A 24174-nucleotide genomic window follows, 5' to 3' on the forward strand; every position below is an offset into this window, starting at 1 on the left:
TCCTGCTTCAGCCTCCCGAGTAGCTGGGATTACAGGCAAGTGCCACCATGCCCAGCTAATTTTTGTATTTTTAGTACAGACAGGGTTTCTCCGTGTTAGTCAGGCTGGTCTTGAACTCCCAACCTCAAGTGATTCACCTGCCTCAGCCTCCCAAAGTGCTGGGATGACAGGCGTGACACCGCACCTGGCCGCTCTTTTGTATGGTTTTTGACATCTCTATTTCATTCTCTTCAGCTCTGATTTTGGTTATTTGTTGTCTTCTGCTAGCTTTGGGCTGCTTTGCTCTTGTTTTTCTAGCTCCTCTAGGTGTGATGCTACTTTGAGATCTTTCTAACTTTTTGATGTGGACCTTTAGCACTATAATCTTTCCTTTTATTAATAACATTGCTTTAGCTGTGTCCCAGACGTTGTTATTTTATATCTTTCATTAGCCTCAAAGAGTTTCTTGATTTCTTCCTTAATTTCATCGTTTACCCAAAGCCATTCAGGTCTAGATAGTTTAATATCCATGTAATTGTATGGTTGGTTTTCAGAGATCTTCTTGGTATTGATTTCTATTTTTATTGTGCTGTTACCTGAGACTGTGGTTGATATAATTTTGGTGTTTTTTTTTTTTCAAATTGTTGAGAATTGCCTTATGGCCAACCATGTGGTTGATTTTAAAGTATGTGTCATATGCACATGAGAAGAATGTACATTCTGATGTTGTTGGGTGGAGTGTCCCATACATGTCTGTCAGGTCCATTTGGTCAAGTGTCAAGTTAAGGTCCCAAATATCTTCGTTAGTTTTCTGCTTGGATAAGCTATCTAATAATATCAGTGGGGTGTTGAAACCTGTCACTATTATTGTGTGGTTATCTAAATCTCTTTATATGTCTATAAGAGCTTGTTTTATGAATCTGGGTGCTCCAGTATTGGATGCAAATATGTTTAGAATAGTTAAGTCTTCTTGTTGAATTGAACATCATGATGTAATTCCCTTGTCCTTTTCATTGTTGTTTATAGAAAAAAAAAGGTGCAGCTGGCTGCCAGCGCTTATTTAATTTTATGTAAACATGCTCTTTGAGGCTGAAGCAAATCTGACTGATTTTCAATGTGAAAATAAAACATAAAACTGGTATTGGAGTTATTTTTAAACAGAACTAACATCAGAATCGTCTTTTTCAAAAAAAATCAGATTCATCCAATGAATCTTGGGCCAACCACTGTTCAAGAACAATATTTATATCACACGTAGAAATGCTACATTTTCTAAGATTTGACATTTTCAGTGATCAAGAATTACTATATTTTATAAATAGGAAATATCACTGCTAAAAACAGAATGCTATAAATAGAATGATGTCTTTTGTTTCCAAAGTTGATATACTAGAGTGATGTGAAATAATAATACAAGTAAGTTATTTCATGGCAAAAGTGTCTCAGAGTAAACACTGTAGCCGCAAGTGCCACCAGCATGTGTTCTCGGGGCAAACAGGAAAAGGGTTAAAGTCTGTTTTTTCTGAAATAAGAATAGCAACCCCTGCTTTATTTTTTGTTTTCTTTCTTTTTTAATAGGTCTTTCTCCATCACTTTATTTTGAGCCTGTTGGTGTCACTGCACATGAGATAGGTCTCATAAAGACACCATACATTTTGGTCTTGCTTCTTTATCCAACTTGCAACACTATGCCTTCTAAAGTGGGGCATTTAGCCCACGTACATTCAAGATTAACATTTATATGTGTGAATCTGATCCTGTCATTGTGTTGTTAGCTGGTTGCTATGTAGATTTAATTGTATAGTTGCCTTATAGTGTCAATGGTCTATGATCTTAAGTGTGTTTTTGTGGTGACTGGTACTGGTCTTTTGTTCCGATGTTTAGTACATCCTTAAGGACCATGTATAAGGTAGATCTTGTGGTAAAAAAAATTCCCTTAGCATTTGCTTGTCTGAAAAAAAATTTTATTTCTCCTTTGTTTATGAAGCTTAGTTTGGCTAGATATGAAATTCTTGATTGGAATTTCTTTTTTTTTTTTTTTTTGGTGCAGAATACAGGTCCTCAGTGTCTCCTGGCTTGTAGTGTTTGTGCTGAAATGTCTGCTATTTGCATGATGGGGTTCCCTTTGTAGGTTACCTGCTCCTTCTCTCTAGCTGCCTTTAATATTTTTTGTGTGTGTTGACCGTGGAGAATCTGATAACTATGTGCTTTCAGGATCATTGCCTTGTATTATATCTCACAGGGATTCTCTGAGTTTCCTGAATTTGCATGTTGACTTATCTAGCAAAGTTGGGGACATTTTTGTGAAGAATACCCTCAAATATGTTTTCCAAGTTGCTTGCCCTCTCTCTCTCTCTCCCTTTCCTTCAGGGATGCCAATGAATCCAATGAGTTACAGGTTTGGCCTCTTTACATAATCTCATATTGTTCAGAGATTTCATTCATTTTTTAAAGTATTTTTTCTTTTTTTTTTCTGACTGAGTTAATTCAAAGAACTTGTCTCTTAGAGCTCTGATATTCTTTCCTCAGCTTGGTCTATTCTGTTGTCAATACTTCAGGTTATATTATAAGGTTCTTTTTTTTTTACTTGAGACAGGGTTTTGCCCTGTCACCCAGGCTGGAGTACCATGGTGCCATCACGGCTCACTGCAACCTTGACCTTCCAGGCTCAAGTGATCTTCCCACCTCAGCCTCCTAAGTAGCTGGGACTACAGGTGCATGCCACCATGCTCAGCTAATTTTTGTACATTTTATACAGATTCATTTTCACCATGTTTTCCAGGCTGGTTTTGAACTCCTGGGCTCAAATGATCTTCCCATCCTCCCACCTCAGCTTCCCAAAGTACTAGGATTACAGCTGTGAGCCACTGCACCTGACATGAAATTTTGTAGTGAGCTTTTCGGCTCTACCAGATCAGTTTAGTTGTTTCTGAAAATTGCTATTTCATCTTTCAGGTCATGAATCATTTTACTGGATTGCAAAGGTTCCTCAGATTGGGTTTCGGTGTTCTCCTAAATCTTGATGATCTTCACTGCCATCCTGATTCTTAATTCTATGTCCCTCATTTCAGCCATTTTATCAGTAAAGGACAATTTTTGGAGATGTAGTATGGTATTTTGGAGGTAAAAAGACACTCTCTCTGACTTTTACAGTTGCAGTTCTTGCACAGATTCTTTCTCATCTCTGTGGGCTGATATTTCTTTAATCTTTAAGTTGCTGTTCTTTGGAAGGAGCTTTTTGCTTTTAAATTATCTGATGCCCTTGAGGATTTGACCATGATATAAGTTGGGTTTGGTTGACTGGCTTCATTTCTGGATGATCTCAGGTGGCTAAGACTCAGTTCATCACTCCTAGGCTGTGTGCTCTTACCCTGGGGTCTGGGAACAGGTCCATGGCTTTGTTCTCTTGTCCCTTGATGTCAAGCATCTGCTGCACTGTAGGGGCCAAGGTATTCCCAGACCACTGGCAACAACACTCTGAAGCAGGGTTCCAGCAAAAGCTTTTTGTGGAGGTAATGGTAGTGTGTTTCATGCTCACATGTGCACACCAGGGAAAGTGGAGCAATAGTACAGCTAAGTCCATGCCTACATGTCAGCAATGGCTGGGAGCAGGGTACATGTGTATGCATGCAATGGTTGAGGAGGGGGCAATGGTGAGGTCCATGCATGTACACACACTGGCAAAGTGATGGGGTAAGGCTCTGAGCGAATGTGCACTGGTTGGGGTGGAGCCATGGTGAGGTCCATGCATGTACACACACTGACAAAGCAGTGGTGTGAGGCTATGCACAAGTGAGCACTGGCACAGTGGTTGGGGGAAGCTGTAGGTGAGTGAGTGCTGGCAGGAACCCATCTGCAAAAACTCTCTGACAGTTAGCTGGGGTCTGTCAGTGAAAGAGCTATAACCACGGCCACTGGGATGCTCCCTGTTTTGATATCCAAGGCTGTACTGCAAGCAGATGCAGCCAGACAGGGACCCTGGGAGAAGCTGGCAGACAAGGGACACTCAGATCAGATTGTCACCATTCCATGGGCAAGATAGCCCTGTTCTGTCCAGGTTAGAGAATGAACGAAAGCCAAAGTCACCTATAGGAGTATGGTGAGCCTTGGGCATCCCTGCTTGTGCTCCTTTGCAGCCAATACCATGTGAAACCCTCTGAGCTCCACACAAGCTGGAGTCCTGTCTCTGGCAACACACTAAGCAGCACTCTCTGCCAGCTCAAATGTCCATGGGGTTGTAGGGTCTCCTGCAGCTAGGATTCCAGAGGTTTGTGATAAGAGTGAACCAGTTCATGCCTATTTAACTTGCCCCTTCACTAGAAGCTGTTTGGGGCCAGAAATGAGTCCTGGTGCTTGGTAACCCCATGCAGGGTTCCCAGCTTCCTCCTCCTTCAGCCCAAGGTCTGTGTCCTCTCTCTGTCCATTCTCGACAACTTCCTTCCGAAGATCTGCTCATAGTGTGCCGGTCTTCTTGATGGTCTGGTCTCTCAGTGAGAGAAGCTCTTCCTGGATGCATCTAGTCAACCACCTTCGCACCACAATGATCGCCATTCCAACTGGTGTGAGATGGTATCTCATTGTGGTTTTGATTTGCATTTCTCTGATGGCCAGTGATGATGAGCATTTTTTCATGTGTCCTTTGGCTGCATAAATGTCGTCGTTTGAGAAGTGTTTGTTCATGTCCTTCGCCCACTTGTTGATGGGTTTGTTTGTTTTTTTCTTGTAAATTTGTTTGAGTTATTTGTAAATTCTGGATATTAGCCCTTTGTCAGATGAGTAGATTGTAAAAATTTTCTCCCATTCTGTAGGATGCCTGTTCACTCTGATGGTAGTTTCTTTTGCTGTGCAGAAGCTCTTTAGTTTAATTAGATCCCATTTTGTCAGTTTTGGCTTTTGTGGCCATTGCTTTTGGTGTTTTAGACATGAAGTCCTTGCCCATTACACTGTTGGTGGGACTGTAAACTAGTTCAACCATTGTGCAAGCTCTTTCAGGTCATTAGACAAATGCAATTTCTTGACATGGTAGAGCCAAGGTCCCCGTTTCCTTGCTGGCTGTCATTCAGGAATGAGTATTTGCTTCTGTAAACTCCATGCAATCCTTCTCATGCCTACCATATGGCCTCCCTCCAGCAACAACAGAATGGGAGTCCCTCTCACACTTTGAATCCCTTCCCCTTCTGCCATATTTCTCTGCCTTCCTCTTCTGCCTCTAGCTGGAAGTAGTTCTCTACTTTTAAGGACTCCTGTGACACAATGGGCCCACCTCCGTAATCCAGGATAATCTCTCTATTTTAAGGCCATAACATATTTGCATTTGAAAGGAGGAGGCATTCTGCCTACTACAGAGGTATTAATGACTTTCCTCATCCTGTATGGACTTCACTTAGGTAAAATACTTTGATCTAATAAATTAAACCTACTATTGATGTAGTGCATGGAAGTAAAAAAAAAAATTATAAAATCTCTCTGCAGCAAAACTTGTCTGAGTTTGGTGATGGCTGCACAACTTTTGGAAACACTAAAAGCCAATTAGTTTGTATACTTTTAATGTCTGAATTTTGTGGTATATAAATTATAACTCAAGAAATGTGTTATTTAAAGCAAAAACAATAAACTTGCCTTGCAACACTCTTCTGCCTTGCAAGATAAGTCTATTCACATGGAAGACTCCAGAAGAACAGTTATATAAAGAAAATGTTAAAGTTTAGGCTTACTTGCAAAAATAGCATCTCCATTATACCTACATGAGGTGATGAGGTAATAATTGCCAGTAATTAAAAGGCAGTCATTATACACTAGAACCAGCTTTAAGCATGGTATGCATGTTAACATATTTAATCTAATCAACAAGCCTGTGAAATGGATAACATTAACATGCTCATTTTGCAAAGGAAACTGAATCACAGACTGTTTAAGTCAAACCTGCCAATGAATGCTGAGAGTTAGGATTCAAAACTCGGCACTGTGGCTCCTGAGTTTATGCTCTTAACCACCGTTAGGAAGCAAGAAGGTCTTTGATGAGGGCACTCGGTGACAATGTGACATTTAAATAGACCAATGTTTTAAAGCTAGACCTACTTCTTATTAATTATCATTAGGAAGACTGGTTATTTAATCTGAGACTCAGTTTTTATTATTTTTTTATATATTTGTAAGTTTTCATTTATTTATTTTGTATTATACTTTAAGTTTTAGGGTACATGTACACAATGTGCAGGCTTGTTACATATGTATACATGTGCCATGTTGGTGTGCTGCACACATTAACTCATCATTTACATTAGGTATATCTCCTAATGCTATCCCTCCCCCCTCCCCCCACCCCACAACAGGCCCTGGTGTGTGATGTTCCCCCTCCTGTGTCCATGTGTTCTCATTGTTCAATTCCCACCTATGAGTGAGAACATGTGGTGTTTGGTATTTTGTCCTTGTGATAGCTTGCTGAGAATGATGGTTTCCAGCTTCATCCATGTCTCCACAAAGGACATGAACTCATCATTTTTTATGGCTGCATAGCATTCCATGTCATATATGTGCCACATTTTCTTAATCCAGTCTATCATTGTTGGACATTTGGGTTGGTTCCAAGTCCTTGCTATTGTGAATAGTGCCTCAATAAACATACGTGTGCATGTGTCTTTACAGCAGCATGATTTATTTGGGTATATACTCAGTAATGGGATGGCTGGGTCAAATGGTATTTCTAGTTCTAGATCCCTGAGGAATCGCCACACTGACTTCCACAATGGTTGAACTAGTTTACAGTCCCACCAACAGTGTAATGGGCAAGGACTTCATGTCTAAAACACCAAAAGTAATGGCAACAAAAGCCAAAATTGACAAAATGGGATCTAATTAAACTAAAGAGCTTCTGCACAGCAAAAGAAACTACCATCAGAGTGAACAGGCATCCTACAGAATGGGAGAAAATTTTTACAATCTACTCATCTGACAAAGGGCTAATATCCAGAATTTACAAATAACTCAAACAAATTTACAAGAAAAAAACAAACAACCCCATCAACAAGTGGGCGAAGGATATGAACAAACACTTCTCAAACGACGACATTTATGCAGCCAAAGGACACATGAAAAAATGCTCATCATCACTGGCCATCAGAGAAATGCAAATCAAAACCACAATGAGATACCATCTCACACCAGTTGGAATGGCGATCATTAAAAAGTCAGGAAACAACAGGTGCTGGAGAGAATGTGGAGAAATAGGAACACTTTTACACTGTTGGTGAGACTCAGTTTTATTATCTGCAAAAAGGGGTGTATCAGTTTTCTAAGGTTTCCATAACAGAGTATTACAAATTTAAAGAGAAATTCATCTGGCTTAAACAGCAGAATTTTATTGTCTCACAGTTCTGGAGGCCAGAAGTCCAAGATCAAGATATCCAAAGTTTGGTTACTTTAGAACTAAAACCATGAGACAAAAGTTGACTCCATGCTTTTCTCCTGGCTTCTGATGACTTGCTGGGAATCTTTGGCATTCCTCGGCATGTAGATCCCTGTCTTCGTCTTCACATGGCTTTCTCCCTGTGTGGATGATTCTGTCTCTAAATTTTCCCATTTTATGAGGACACCATTCACATCACATCGGATTAGGGATGTCTAATGACCTCATCTTAACCAATAATATCTACAATGATCCTATTTCAAAATAAGGTCAAATTCTGAGGTACTAGGGATTAGGATCTCAGCATGTGAATTTTCAAGGGACACGATTTAACCCATAACAGGGCATTATTATATTTACCATGGAGTGCAGCAGTGAGAGAGAAATGAGATTGTGCACATAAAGTACCCAGAACAGTGCCTGGCCCATAATAGGATGTCGGTAAATGTAGCAGTGATTTCATGCAACAATGTCAACATTAAAAGTAACAAAGGAGTTTTTAGAGCAAAAATTGAGGAGAAAGGGAAGGCAACTAATTGCATTCTGATTGGGCTTTTGGGATGAATAGTTTTGGCAACCCAAGTGCACCTTGGAGTCTACGAGATTCTGCTGCCCAGTCTAACCTCAGACAAACATCCCCCACCTACTGTACTCACAAATGCTTTTCCTGCTGCTGACCTAACCAATTCCACAAGTATGTATAAGCACCCACTAGAGCAGGGAGGAAAAGAGATGTGGAAATCAAGTAGGACAAGTCCCAGGACTCTTCCTAAAGAGAGTTCCAAGTTCCTCAGGTCATATTTTAGGAAAGAAGTCATGTTTTATGCGAAAGATCAAGAGGCAGATGTAAGGGAATGGGCAGCAGACAGGAATTTAGGAGACCAGATCTGAGTTCCAGCTTTCGCGAGCTGGTTGTAGAAATTTACCTGAGTCCCTTGATCTGTAGCATATTCAAATGTTCTCAACTATAGAATATGAGACTTAGAGAGTTGCTTTTAAAGAACCCTTCCAGCTCCAATGTTCTCTATTTTTTTTTCTTAAGTTTTCATCCCTAAGATAACTCATTATGTATAGGTAAATATCCCTAAATTTTAAAAGAATCCAAAATCTGAAACACTTCTGAGTCCAAGCATTTCAGATAAGGGATATTCAGCCTTTAGCTATTTATTTTCTTGCTTTGCATAACTTACCCCACCCTTTTATTCTTCTTTCTTAGGTAAGTTAATAGATGTACCTACCTAAGGTAAAATTTAAAAATTTGCTGCTTCCAAATTTTGCTGGCCTAAGGTTCTGTCTATCTCAATGAGAATAAGCAAAGGCACTTTGAGATAGCTTATATCTATAAAGGACAATTTTCTTTCTTTTTTTAATTATACTTTAAGTTCTGGGATATGTGTGCAGAACATGCAGGTTTGTTACATAGGTATATGCCTGCCATGGTGGTTTGCTGAACCTATCAACCTGTCATCTACACTAGGTATTCCTCCTAATGCTATCCCTTTCCTAGCCCCCACCCCCCAACAGGCCCCAGTGTGTGATGTCCATGTGTCCTCCTTGTTCAACTCCCACTTATGAATGAGAACATGCAGTGTTTGGTGTTCTGTTCTTGTGTTAGTTTGCTGAGAATAATGGTTTCCAGCTTCATCCATGTTCCCACAAAGGACATGAACTCATCCTTTTTTATTGCTGAATAATATTCCATGGTGTATATGTGCCACATTTTCTTTATCCAGTCTATCATTGATGGGCATTTGGGTTGGTTACAAGAATGAACAGGCAACCTACAGAGGGGAGAAAATTTTTGCAATCTATCCATCTGACAAAGGGCTAATATCCAGAATGTATAAAGAACTTTAACAAATTTACAAGAATAAAACAAACAACCTCATCAAAAAGTAGGTGAAGGATATGAACAGACACTTTTCAAACGAAGACATTTATGCAGCCAACATACATATGAAAAAAAAGCTCATCATCACTAGTCATTAGAGAAATGCAAATCAAAACCACAATAAGATACAATCTCATGTCACTTAGAATGGCGAACACTAAAAAGTTAGGAAACAACAGATGCTGGAGAGGATGTGGAGAAATAGGAATGCTCTTACACTGTTGGTGGGAGTGTAAATTAGTTCAGCCATTGTGGAAGACAGTGTGGCGATTCCTTTCCTCAAGGCTCTAGAACCAGAAATACCATTTGACCCAGCAATCCCATTACTCGGTATATACCCAAAGGATTATAAATCATTCTACTACAAAGACACATGCACATGTATGTTTATTGCAGCACTGTTCTATTTTTTATCTCTAAAGTTTTCTTGAAAGAAGGTAAAAGCTCCAAGCTGTAATTGCCATTCCTTTAACATGGAAGATAAAAAAATGAGGGAAAAAGATTTAAAAAGAGAAAACCAAAAGGCAAAATGCTATGAAATACATTCAATGATAAAAGACTTTTATCTGTGTGGGGGTTTCTAACCTGCAAGGCACATTCATGTGCATTACCAAGGAGGTGCAGGAGGTTGGATCTATGGTTCAGAAAAGGAAAATGAGGCTACGGAATTAAATTGCCTAGCTTCCATCCCGTGAAAACCCACAGTGTAGAGTGAGGAATCACAGAAACAACATACAGACTATATTTTTTTCACATTGTCTCTGTTAGTGTGTGGAGCTATCCCTTCAGTTCTGATGATATTGTGGAGAATCTATTTTTAACACTTGTGGTACAAGATCATGTGAGTTTACCAATATGGGCCAATGACAGGTACAGACCTCTCAGATGCCCACTTTACTTGTGGCTCTGAAGTATTTTGGGACCCAGAGGATCCCTGTCTATGATGAGAATAAAGATCAAACAATACAGAGAAGGAAAATGAGTCATTACAGTGAAGACAGAAGGGTTTGTCCCAAATCTAACTGTTTGCTTCCTGCATTTCCTATAAGGCATGTCATCCACCACAGAAGGCTAAACTCGAGAGCATGAGTGCTGGTTTATATAATTTATCTCCTAGCTGATTTTATAATATTAGAAGAGTCAGGCAATATGTAGAAAAATGTGACCAATTTAGACAGTACGGCAAAACATGCCATTTGGTCTCATTTATCATAATAGGGATTTAAAAGGACACTCATGAGCCATTTAGAACCCATGAGTTAGTTGAGCAGAACAAGTGGTTTTGCATAAGCTCTACCCTTAAATCATTTAGTGCTTTCTTGCATCATTAAAAGCAAGTGATATTTTTAAAAACTGCAAGAGTCATAACAATTAACATCAGAAAAACAATTTTACCACCACTTAAAGGGCTTGCAGGGGTCAAGAGGACCACCTTTATTGTTTTGAGACACCTCAGTGTATTTTTCCCCTGCTCATATGATGGGGAAATCGAGTTTGCTGGGCCACCTCCAGCATCCTTTGTGACAGTCTCCAGCTACAGTGTGGAGTAGCCTGACTCGCTGGGAACTCTCAGTCCAGCGGAAGAGAGAAGACACCTGGCAGCCATTCTGAAACAAGCAACATTGAACACAGAGCAAGAGCAAAACCAGAGGGGACAGCTTTGTGCAGTGGGCTGGTCTGCACTTTAGACACATTACAAACCGGATGTAGCCTTCTATTTGGTGGGCACCATGCCACTTTCATAAAAGTCTACAGCTGATCAAAAAAAAAAAAAATCTACAGCGGAAAGGAATACTATCTCCCCATCCCACCCCATCCAGTCAACATCAGAACCCAGACTGGGATCTCTTCATTGCTTGTGAGTCTGTTTTTCTATGAACACAGGAGATGGAGACTTATAGTAAAGGGACAATTTTGAATACCCAGGACAGTTGGTCAGACCTCTCCTGAGAGGCAGAAATCCCGCTAATGGGTTCATGTGCCCATACTAAGAACCAAGGATACAAAAATTATCTATTATACATGAGAATTCCCAATGGGCTACCTAATGTGGCTACTGTAAACATCGTTTTTGCTGACCTCTATTACAGCTTTTGTCACTATGCATCAAAATAATGTATTTAAATAGTAATAGGGATAAGTTAAACCTTACATATGTTAGCTCTCTTGGTCCATACAGTAATCTAAAGAAGTAGATGCCATGATTGCCCTCCATTATAGGTGAGGAGCTGAGCAGAGGTAAGGTTAGGTCTTTTTCCCTAGATCACACAGTAGCACTAACCCAGGTCTGACTCCAGAGACTAGCCCTGGATCCTGTACTGATAGTGCCTATAATGACATGCCTTCCCTGCTGGGTAGTAAGCTCCCTAAGGGCAGAGGCTGCTTATTATACATCTCTGAATTCCTGATACCTGACACACTCCACTGACTCTTCTGGCTAAAATATCCTTTCTTGAGGGTCATGAACAAAGACTCACTCATAGAAAAAAAACAGATTAAGGAGCTAGTAAAGAGCTGTTAAGGAGCTGGCCAATAAAACGTCCTAAATTGGCTGTGGTACTGAACAGTTGCCCTTTTGAAGCTGTTGGAGGCCAAGCTGACAAACTCATTTGGCAAAGTTTCCTTGACTCACTACTATTCTGTTTTATATTTGAGTTATTCACCAAGCTATAATTTTATTCACTCGTTTACTAAAGCAAAGAAGACCTACATAATCATTGCCTAGAGATAGTAACAAGTATCACCTTTTTCTTTATTACCCAATTAAGGGATGAGTTTTGAAAAAATTACAATTATAAAAGTATGCAAATAAAAAGATTAAATTCCCCATACATTCCCTCAATTGTGTATTTTCCTTCTAGAGACAATGACTGTGAATAGTTGAGTATGTATTTTTGCTTCATTTTTATATACAACTTTGTTCCCAGATAAATAAGATTGTATAAATTGTTGCTGGACTTGGTGCACTGAAACTAGGTTACATCCCACAACAACATAAGAAACAGGATGGAAGTATATAACACTTCCATCAGCAAGGGTTGCTTGTGGAGTCACTGGGTGGGTCTCTGGGACCCTGGCTCCTATCCTTCATCCTTATCACCTTTTTCTTTATTAAGAAATTGAAAGCTGACTCATTCACTAATATGCTCAATCTCTGGTGCATTCTCTCTGCTGCTTAGTTGTGGCTTGGTTAGTAATTGTGGATTCATACACTTATAAGAGTAATTTTAAGTGAATGAGTCCACAATTTCAGCATTAAGAGCAAGCCTTCTGGATGGGCCTCCCTCAGAGGTAACATGATACCTGTTGATTTTTAAACAAGCATGTCTTGGGCATCATTTTATGCTTCTTAACAACTGAGTGATATTCTCTAGTATGACTGTTCCATACTATTAATTACCTATTTGCCATTGCATGAAGGAAATTTAGGCTCTTTCTAATTCTGTTGCTATTAGAAACACTACTACGTTTTCCATATTTAAAAGGTAGCTGGAGCTTACAGAAAAAAAAGTGCAAAATGTGTATAAAAATACCAAAAAAAGGCAACAGTTATGGACTGCATGTTTGTGCCCTCCATGAAAAAATGTATATGTCGAAACTCTAATCTCCAATAGAATGATGTTCAGAGGTAAGACCTTTGGGAGATAATTAGGTTTCAATGAGGTCATGAGGTTGGAGCCACCATGATGTGATTAGTGGCCTTACAAGGAAAAAATAGGCTAGAGCTATTTTTCTGTCCCCACTCTCTGTCCCCACTATGTGAGGTTACAGCAAGAAGATCTGCATACCAGAATAGAGCCTTCAGCAGGAATCCAGTCTACAAACACCTTGATCCTAACTTTCCAGGCTGCAGACTGGGAAAGATGAATTACTATTATTTAAGCTACCCAGTCTACAATATTGTTATTATAGCAGTCCAAACTGGTTAAGACAGAAATCTTACCTTAAAAAGATAATTTCTGTACTATTTTGAAATATTTACTTATTTTGAATTTTTTTGTTATTTTTAATCCTTTTTCTAAGGATATAAAATATTACATTTATATATCTGGTGAAATGCCATATTTTGATTGTGTATTCTGCTTTGCATTACACTTAACATTATATCATAACATTGCCCAATCCATTTTTTATTAAAAACATGACTTTTAAAGGTCACATACTGCATCATACTTACATAACAAAATTTATTTGTCCATTCCTCTATCTTGGCCACTTACATCATTTTGAAATTTTCACTTATAAACAATGGACAAATGAATATTATAGAAAATAAATCTTTGAACAATTCTTAAGTTATTTTCTTAAATCACTTTGTAAGGTGGTAAAGAGCTGTTATTTTTTCTCCTGATTATATTGCATCACTTTAAGTTGAACATTGGCTGGTTAAGGTTGACATTTTTGTCTCTCATGTATTAAAGACTATTTTTCTATTCCTGGTCTGTATTAATAAACCACATAAATGGCTTGTGGACTTTATCACATATTTTGAGAGCCTGTGTATTTTGTTGTTGTAATTGTTAAATTGTATTGTTGATATTATTTTTCTAGAATTTTCACATTAATATCAATTTGATATAATACTATGTTTTCTGGGCTTTAATTTTTAGATTTTGTTATCAGAATTTGCTAACTTCAAAAATTGAAGTATAGGCCAGGCATGTTGGCTCACGCCTGTAATCCCAGCACTTTGGGAGGCTGAGGCAGGTGGATCTCTTAAGGCCAGGAGGTCGAGACCAGCCTGGCCAACATGAGGAAACCCCACCTCTACAAAAAGTACAAAAGTTAGGTGGGCATGGTGGCATACACCTGTAATCCCAACTACTACTCAGGAGGCTGAGTCACAAGAATCCCTTAAACCCAAGAGGTGGAGGTTTCAGTGAGCCGAGATCACATCACTATACCCTAGCTTGAGCAACAAAGCAAGACTCTCTCAAAAAAAAAAAAAAAAAAAGAAAGAAAAGAAGTTGAAGTGTATAGTCTTCCTTTCTTTTCACATACATGTTTCACTTACCTAGCACATGGATTTTAAGTTTTTCAGAGTTTACAAGAACTTAGTAAAAGTCTGATTCTGTCATCTATTGTTTTGAAGTAATGCTATGATAATTTTTTTCGATTTTTCTTTTTTTTGCATCAAATCCACCATGATGTTACTTGGGCTATTTATTTCATCATCAGTTTCTCTCCGTAAAATGATGGTAATAATAATACAAATTCTATGAATTGTTCTAAGTCTCACAAATAGTAGCACAAATATAGTGCCCAAGAGTTTATAAAGGTTTGTTTAGTGGCTTTTATTTCTAACATAAAGAGATTTTTTTTGGAAGCTCGAACTGGGTGAAGCCCACCACAGCTCAAGGAGGCCTGCCTGCCTCTGTACGCTCCACCTCTGGGGGCAGGGCACAGACAAACAAAAGACAGCAATAACCTCTGCAACTTAAATGTCCCTGTCTGACAGCATTGAAGAGAGTAGTGGTTCTCCCAGCATGCAGCTTGAGATCTGAGAATGGGCAGACTGCCTCCTCAAGTGGGTCCCTGACCCCCAAGTAGCCTAACTGGGAGGCACCCCCCAGTAGGGGCTGACTGACACCTCACACGGCCTGGTACTCCTCTGAGACAAAACTTCCAGAGGAACGATCAGGCAGCAGCATTTGCAGTTCACCAATATCCGCTGTTCTGCAGCCACCGCTGCTGATACCCAGGCAAACAGGGTCTGGAGTGGACCTCCAGCAAACTCCAACAGACCTGCAGCTGAGGGTCCTGACTGTTAGAAGGAAAACTAACAAACAGAAAGGACATCCACACCAAAAACCCATCTGTATGTCACCATCATCAAAGACCAAAGGTAGATAAAACCACAAAGATGGGGAAAAAACAGAGCAGAAAAACCGGAAACTCTAAAAATCAGAGCGCCTCCCCTCCTCCAAAGGAACACAGCTCTTCATCAGCAACAGAACAAAGCTGGATGGAGAATGACTTTGATGAGTTGAGAGAGGAAGGCTTCAGAAGATCAAACTACTCCAAGCTAAAGAAGGAAGTTCAAACCCATGGCAAAGAAGTTTAAAACCTTGAAAAAAAATTAGACGAATGGATAACTAGAATAACCAATGCAGAGAAGTCCTTAAAGGACCTGATGGAGCTGAAAACCACGGCACGAGAACTACGTGATGAATGCACAAGCCTCAGTAACCGATGCAATCAACTGGAAGAAAGGGAATCAGCAATGGAAGATGAAATAAATGAAATGAACAGTGAAGAGAAGTTTAGAGAAAAAAGAATAAAAAGAAATGAACAAAGTCTCCAAGAAATATGGGACTATGTGAAAGACAAAATCTACATCTGATTGGTGTACCTGAAAGTGACGGGGAGAATGGAACCAAGTTGGAAAACACTCTGCAGGATATTATCCAGGAGAACTTCCCCAATCTAGCAAGGCAGGCCAACATTCAAATTCAGGAAATACAGAGAATGCCACAAAGATACTCCTCGAGAAGAGCAACTCCAAGACACATAATTGTCAGATTCAGCAAAGTTGAAATGAAGGAAAAAATGTTAAGGGCAGCCAGAGGGAAAGGTTGGGTTACCCACAAAGGGAAGCCCATCAGACTGACAGCGGATCTCTCGGCAGAAACTCTACAAGCCAGAAGACAGTGGGGGCCAATATTCAACATTCTTAAAGAAAAGAATTTTCAACCCAGAATTTCGTATCCAGACAAACTAAGCTTCATAAGTGAAGGAGAAATAAAATCCTTTACAGACAAGCAAATGCTGAGAGATTTTGCACCACCAGGAACAACCGGTACCAGCCACTGCAATAACATGCCAAATTGTAAAGACCGTCGAGGCTAGGAAGAAACCGCATCAACTAATGAGCAAAATAACCAGCTAACATCATAATGACAGGACCAAATTCACACATAACAATACTAACGTTAAATGTAAATGGGCTAAATGCTCCAATTAAAAGGCACAGACTGGCAAATTGGATAAAGAGTCAAGATCCCTCAGTGTGCTGTATTCAGGAAACCCACCTCATGTTCAGAGACACACATAGGCTCAAAATAAAGGGATGGAGGAAGATCTACCAAGCAAATGGAAAACAAAAAAGGCAGGGGTTGCAATCCTAATCTCTTGATAAAACAGACTTTAAACCAACAAAGATCAAAAGAGACAAAGAAGGCCATTACATAATGGTAAAGGGATCAATTCAACAAGAAGAGCTAACTATCCTAAATATATATGCATTGCAATCCACTTTTTAAAAGTTTGTTCTGTGCTTGATTGATGATTTTAATTATTGTACTTAACTTTTTAATTAATATTGAATTTCTTTTGAGTTATGATATAAAGTTTAACTTTATTTTCATATTAGTATTAGTATAATTAATGATATCGTTTGGCTCTGTGTACCATTCAAATCTCATCTCAAATTGTAATCCTCTTATGTCAATGGGAGGAACCTGGTGGGAGGTGACTGGATGATGGGGGCGGTTTCCCCCATGTTATTCTGATGATAGTGAGTGAGTTCTCACGAGATCTGATGGTTTTATAAGGAGCCCTTTCCCTTTCATTCAGCACTTCTCCTTTCTGTCACCTTGTGAAGAAGGTGCCTTGCTTCCCCTTCACCTTCTGCCATGACTGTAAGTTTCCTGAGGTCTCCCCAGCCATGCAGAACTGTGAGTTAAACTTCTTTCCTTTATAAATTAACCAGTCTCAGTATCGTTACAGCAGTGTGAAAATGGACTGATACATAGAATTTGTACCAAGAGTGGAGTACTGCTAGAAAGATAATCTGAAAATGTGGAAGCAACTTTGGAACTGGGTAACACGTAGAGGTTGGAACAGTTCGGAAGACAGGAAAATTTGGGAAAGTTTAGAACTTCCTAGAGACTTGTTGAATGGTTTTGACCAAAATGCTGATAGTGATATGGACAATAAAGTCCAGGCTGAGGTGGTCTCAGATGGAGATGAGGAACTTACTGGGAATTGGAGCAAAGGTCATTCTTGCTATGGTTTAACAGAGACTGGTGGCATTTTGCCCTGCCCTAGACATCTGGGGACTTTGAACTTGAGAGAGATATTTTAGGGTACCTAGTGGAAGAAATTTCTAAGCAGCAAAGTATTCAAGAGGTAACCAGGCTTATTCTGAAAGTGCTCAGTTAAATGCATTCACAAAGAGATGGTTTAAAATTAGAACTTACGTTTAAAAAGGAAGCAGAGCATAAAGGTTTGGAAATTTTGCAGCCTGACCATATGATGGAAAAGAAAAGCCCATTTTCTGAGAAGAAATTCAAACCAGCTGCAGAAATTTGCATAAGTAATGAGGAGCCAAATGTTAATAGCAAAGACAATGGGGAAAAATATCTCCAGGGCATATCAGTGATCTTCACAGTAGCCACTCACCTCACAGGCCTGGAGGCCTAGGAGGAAAAAAATGGTTTCATAGGCCAGGCCCAGGTCTCCACTGCTCTGTGCAGCCCTGTGACATGGCACCCTGCTTCCCAGCCACTCCAGCTCCAGCCATGGCTAAAAGGGGCCAAAGTACAGCTGGGGCCATTGCTTCAGAGGGTGAAAGCCCCAAGTCTTGGTGACTTCCATGTGGTGTTGGGCCTGCAGTTATGGAGAAGATAAGAGTTGAACTTTGGGAACCTCCACCTAGATTTTAGAGGATGTATGAAAAAGCCTGGATGTCCAAGCAGAAGTCTGCACAGGGACAGAGCCCTCATGGAGAACCTCTGCTAGAGCAGTATGGAAAGAAAATGTGGGGTTGGAGCCCCCACACAGAGTCCCCATTGAGGCACTAGCTAGTGGAGCTGTGAGAAGAAGGCCACCATCTTCCAGACCCTAGAATGGTAGATCCACCAACAGCTTGCACCTCAGGAACTCAATGCCAGCTCATGAAAGCCACAGAGACCATACCCTGCAGAGCCACAGGGGTGAAACTGCCCAAGGCCCTGGGAGCCCACCCCTTTCATCAGTGTGCCCTGGATGTGAGACATGGAGTCAAATGAGATTTTGGAGCTTTAAGATTTAGTGACTGCCTGGCCAGGTTTCAGACTTGCATGGGGCCTGTGACCCCTTTATTTTGGCCAATTTCTCCCATTTGGAATGGGGACATGTATCCAATGCCTGTATCCCCATTGTATCTTGGAAGTAAGGAACTTGCTTTTGATTTTACAGGCTGATAGGCAGAAGGAACTTGACTTATCTCAGATGGGCCTTTGGACTCGGACTTTGGGGTTAATGCTGGAAAGAGTTAAGACTTTGGGGGACTGTTGGGAAGGCATGATTCATTTTGAAATGTGAAAGGGACATGAGATTTGAGAGGGGTTGGAGCAGAATTATATCAATTTGGCTCTGTGTCCCCAACCAAATCTCATCTCAAATTGTGGTCCCCACATGTCAAGGGAGGGACCTGGTGGGAGATGATTGGATCATGGAAGCAGTTTCCCCCATGCTGTTATCATGATAGTGAGTTTGCACAAGATCTGGCTGTTTGATAAGTGTCTGGCCCATCCCCCTTCTCCCTTTCTTTCTCCTGCCTCCATGTAAGACGTGCCTTGTTTCCCCTTCACTTTCCCCCATGATTGTAAGTTTCCTGAGGTCTCCTCAGCTGTGTGGAACTGAGTCAGTTAAACCTCTTCCTTTATAAATTACCCAGTCTCACATAGTATCTTTACAGCTGTGTGAAAACAGACTGATACAATTAATTTTCAGGCTTTTCTTTGTGAATAAAGATTCAGAGTTTATATTTGTCAGAAAAACATTACTTCTTCATTGGCATTTTCAAATTTATTAGCAGAAGTTTGTAAATATTATTTTCTTAAAATGTTTCTATGACTTCCACATATATTATCTCCATTAGCTCATTCTTAATTTTGTGATTTATACCACTCCCAACTGGATTTGAAAAACAAGAAATTAAACGTGGTTTTGTGGTTTTATTTAAAAAAATAGACCTTGGGTGTACTTACAATTCTGTGTGTGTGTGTGTTTGTGTGTGTGTGTGTTTCCTGCCACTAATACATAATGTTCTGCTTTTATGTTTACTACTTGTCTGCTTAAGCTGTCTCCAATTATTTATTTGGTTTTGAGTTGAGTCATTTGCCTTCCTCCCTTCCTTTTTTCCTCTTATTCTCCCTTCTTTTTGCCTTTCTCCTTCTATCTCTCTCCTTCCTTTGTTCCATCCCTCCCACTTATCTTCCTTCTTTTCTTTTTTCCTTTATTCATTTTCTTTCTTTTTTCCATTCTTATTTTCAATATATTTCTTTACCCCTTTTTAAAATTTGTCTTGAGTGTATCTTTAATGATTCCTCTAAGTTTTGACATGAAATGTTCAGAATTTGCAATATAAATATTTTGAAATAGTATTTTTAGATTTTTCTTAGCTCAATAGTTAACTGTGAGACTCTATTTTAAAACTTTTATTTGGTTTTGATTTGTTGTTCAAATTTGTCACTAGTTTTTAATTTTGTTACATTGTGTGATTTCTATAATTTTGTCTTTTTAAATTTATTGAGATTTCATTGTGGCCAATTATGACAACTATTTTTGGAAATGTTTTAATGACATGTAAAGATAATACAGTTCTTGTTTCACAGTATATACATGCACAAACACACGATATTATAAATTATGTTACTCTAACTCCTTATTCAGTTATTACTGCATCTGGCAATAACTGGAAATAATAATATGAGATTTTGAAAATGTCCCTATGAACTTACACAAATAATTCATCATCTCTTTGTGGTATTTATGTGTATATACCATACATACATACATGTTTATGTATTAATCACAAATAATAATTATTTTATTTATAATTATTTAAACATTCAGCTAATATCTTGATAAATGGATGATTGCTATAAAGTCTCCAGTGACACATTTCAGTCAATTAGTCTCTGAATTTGTATTTTTTCTATTTTTGTATTACATATTTTGTTATTATAAAATTTATTTTTCTAACCTGGCATATTCTCCCAGTGTTTCCTAACTCAAAGAACGACATCAATATCAATGAATTGATTATAAAACCTTGAAATCATTTTTGGCCCTCGTCCATAAACCTACCAACTTACACACTGATTTCACTTTGTTAAATAAATATATGCCAAATCTATTCATCATTCTCCATTGGCATCACTAACCTCCCAACATCTGCCAACTGACTGAGAGCAATGGCCTCTCAACTGATTTCCCCGTACTCTTTATTTGTTGAGTAAGTGACTAAATTAATAAATATTTTTTATTATACAATGGTTTGTCTGAGTCTGCTCAGGATACTACAACAAAATACTATAGCCTGGGTGATTTAAACAATTTTTTTTTCTCACAGTTCTGGATGCTGTGAAATTCAAAATCAAGATGCCAGTATATTTGGTGTCTGGTAAGGGCCTTCTTCCTGGTTTACCAATAGGCACCTTCTTGCTGTCCCTTTAAGTGATAGAGAGGGAGAGGTCATTTCTCTCACTTTTCTTATATAGGCGCTAATTGCTTCATGAATGCTCTACCCCCATGACTTAATCACCTTCCAAAGATCTCACCTCCAAATGCTATTCCCACTGTGAATCAAAGCTCCAGCGTATACATTTAGGGGAGACACAAACATTCAATTCATAACAGTGTTCATAAAACATATGCCTATTTTAATATATAATGTTTATTCATTGATTTCTACATTGTTTAAAATTTGTCTGATTGCCCTACATTATTTTTCTTTTTGTTTTATAATTTATACTCATTATTTCTGTTTTGCTATTCTCTCTTGGATATGTTCCTGTACACATTATAAATTTTTTTTGTTTTGAACTCTATCTGGGTTGTCTTTTAATAAGTTAGTTAAAATTTATGCTTGTAACTGTAATGCATATAGTCTGTCTTGCTACTGTTTCTTGTTTCTGAGGAATCTGATTTTTGCTTTTATTTTTTATATTGATTTTCAATGTATAAATAATAGATTTTGCTAATTGGTTAGCATTGTGCATTATTGTAAGCTTTGTATTTCTGTGTGCAGTTGGATTTGCAGTTGGAATTGGTGCCTAGTCTCCATTATAAACAGAAGTACTCGCAATATATTTTAATAGTTCCCTCTTAGTCAAAGAATTCAATTTTGTGAAAAGAATGATGATGATGATAATAACAACAATAAATAACACATTTAGCACTTGCTATGTGCCAAACACTTTGTTAAGAACTGTGAAGAGTTTGAGCTTTTACTCTACTTCAAGCTAAGAAGTTACCCTGTTACAGTATCAAGAAAACTGCAGAAAACACAAGTTTCGTGAATCAGAGACAAAAGTATTTCTTACCCACAGCAACGACAGTACCCAGAACATCAGCATTTTCACCAGTTCCCTGAACCTCAGTTCCCACAGGGTGACACAAAGAGGGACAAGTCAGCCTGAACACAGAGTGAGTTGTATTACAGGAGAACAAAAGCCTTTTATATGGGAATGATTTTTTATAATGATCTTTTATCATGGGAAGTTAACAAACCAGTCTGATCTTTACTCTGAATAACATATTATTTTCATTATACTGGATGGTATGTAAACCTGCCATCTCTTCTAGAGGGAGACACTGTCTCTATATTTTAAGGCTATGCTCTACCCAAATATTCGTGAAGAGAGTCTAAAGAAAAGGCAGTCGGTGACTCCGCTTGTAGAATGTATAGAAACACAAAAACCATGAATACTATTCTAAGCATTTTTAAGTGCTGCAAATATACATACTCATTTCATCCTCACAACAAACCAATAAGGTGGATAATATTATAAAGAACAGTTTATATATAGGGACCCTGAGCCACAGGAAGGCAAAGTATCTTGTTAAATAGAGGAAGTATATGAAATAGAGAAGAAGAAATAATAGTAACTTGTTTCACACATTACCCTCTCTCCCTCGATTACCTTACTACCTACAAAAAGCATTAGGAAGACAAAGTCAAAATGTTGAAATTATCTTCGCAAGAAAATGTTATCATATAAGTAAAAGTGGTCCAGATATTAAACCAAAATTTAAGGTGAAACTCTATTCTAGGAAAAGAGTCAAATATAGCAGAACTATCACTTAATTTTTATTTCGTAGGAATTTGTCTAAAAATGACAAAATGACTACTTCGTGTATATTGGATAAAAAAAAAAAACCTTGTATTATGTGGTTAGAAAATTGGCTATTCTCATTCTATACTTCCTTGGTAATTTCTTGTTACATTTGAGTTGATTCCCTAGAAAAACTGTGTTCTACAGATCCTATCTAATTTATTACCAGTTTAGTTTTTAAAGTAGAACTAATTTATACCAATGTGAATGATCTCCATAATTTCTAAATCTCTTTGGATCATTTCTGAAAGATAAGTCTAAGGCCATGTATGTTTTTGGTGGTTTACGTTTTCATATCTAGGGTCTATAAGCTACAGAACCTAGTGAAAACATGTTTCTTAGAAAGCAAAAATATCGTGGGCTATATAGAGGGTGAAATTTCTTAATGGTTGGTACTAGTAGTAATACTAGGTAACTCCTGTGGTTGCAATCCTATTGTCTAATAAAGGACACTATTGTCTAATAAATTAAAATAAATAAAATAAAATGAAAAACGTAGTACAAGAATATAAAATAAATGGAAAAAAGAGAATGAATAGTGAGGTACATTAAAGAGGTAGATACTGTACATGATTGAGATAATGCCAAAAAAATTGCAACAGTTAACATTTAATATAGCAAATACTATATGTTACCTATGTTTTTCAGAAAAGATTCCAAAAAAATTTCATTTGGGTTGGAAATTATAAAGCAGTTCACTCAATATAAACTGTATATCACATCCTTTCAACAAGTCATAATCAATATTAGATCTTACAGACATTTTATAACCAATGTTTCCACCACCCACTATAGTCATGAAAGATACCTTTTCTCAGTTCTAAGGATCTTTGGTAGGAAAGAGTGTCTGTTTAGAAGTGGTAACTCCTACCCATTCCCCAAAATCGTGATGCAGTCAATTCTCCTTCTGTTATCAAATGTCCCACCCGCTACAAGTCGATTCTAACTTCCTATCCCAATTTCCACTCTTTCCTAACCATCACTTTTCTAATCTGAAAATTGTGATAAATCAAAACATTTCTGATTCATTCAGAAATCCCTACATATCAAGTGTTTTTTGTTAATTTTTTCAGTTGCAAGGAATAGAAATCTCCACTCAAATTAGCTTGAAACTTCTAATGGAAATACATACTTGGCTCATGTTACTGCAAATCCAGAGGCAGCTCTGAATCCAGGAAAGGCTTGATCCAGTGGCTTGAAAGTGGTCACAAAAACTCCATTCTTCTCTGTCCCTTTGCTTTTCTATCGGTGGTATTTACTGTGTCCTCAGGCTCTCCAAAGGGGCCTATCAACAGCTCTGGGCTGGTAATAGGCCTGGTATAACCAATGGTTACTACAGTTCCAAATATTGCATGCTCACACCATATCAACCATGAGAAGAGAGAAAACATCCATGTTCTAGAAACATAAGTAAACATCTTGTGTCTCATTGACTCTGATTAAAGTTTGGAATAGCTAGAAGAAAAGGATTGTTGACTGGGTTTAGTTGATGATGACTCAAGGCTGTAACTAAAAGTAGGGTAGAGACTATTCAAAACACATAGCTGCCATCAGGAGAGATTTGGTACCCCAAAACAAAATTGGACAACAATTTTGGATAAGAGAGGAATTAGATGCCAGCCAATAAGCACAACAACAGATGCCTATTATAGTTGTTGTACATAATGTTTTTAAAGAAGGAAGATGTTGAAGAGATGAAAGGTAATGATAACATGGCAGCACATCAAATCCAGAAGTCATTTAAGGTCTCTAAAAAGGAACAGGACCAAGAAAGAATTAAGTCATAATACTTC

The 24174-nt window shown here is 38.4% G+C and overlaps 1 annotated feature.

Annotated features, from left to right (window-relative positions):
• Positions 17877-18117: a silencer, noted in NCBI's record as "fragment chr5:51940949-51941189 (GRCh37/hg19 assembly coordinates)". NCBI's record gives its function as "represses an EF-1alpha promoter that drives an FKBP-Casp9 reporter gene in an ReSE screen in HepG2 liver carcinoma cells {active_cell/tissue: HepG2}" and the evidence as "EXISTENCE:reporter gene assay evidence [ECO:0000049][PMID:32094911]".

The sequence above is a fragment of the Homo sapiens genome, chromosome 5 (genome assembly GCF_000001405.40).
Source record: "Homo sapiens chromosome 5, GRCh38.p14 Primary Assembly".
In the NCBI taxonomy this organism is placed as follows: Eukaryota; Metazoa; Chordata; class Mammalia; order Primates; family Hominidae; genus Homo; species Homo sapiens.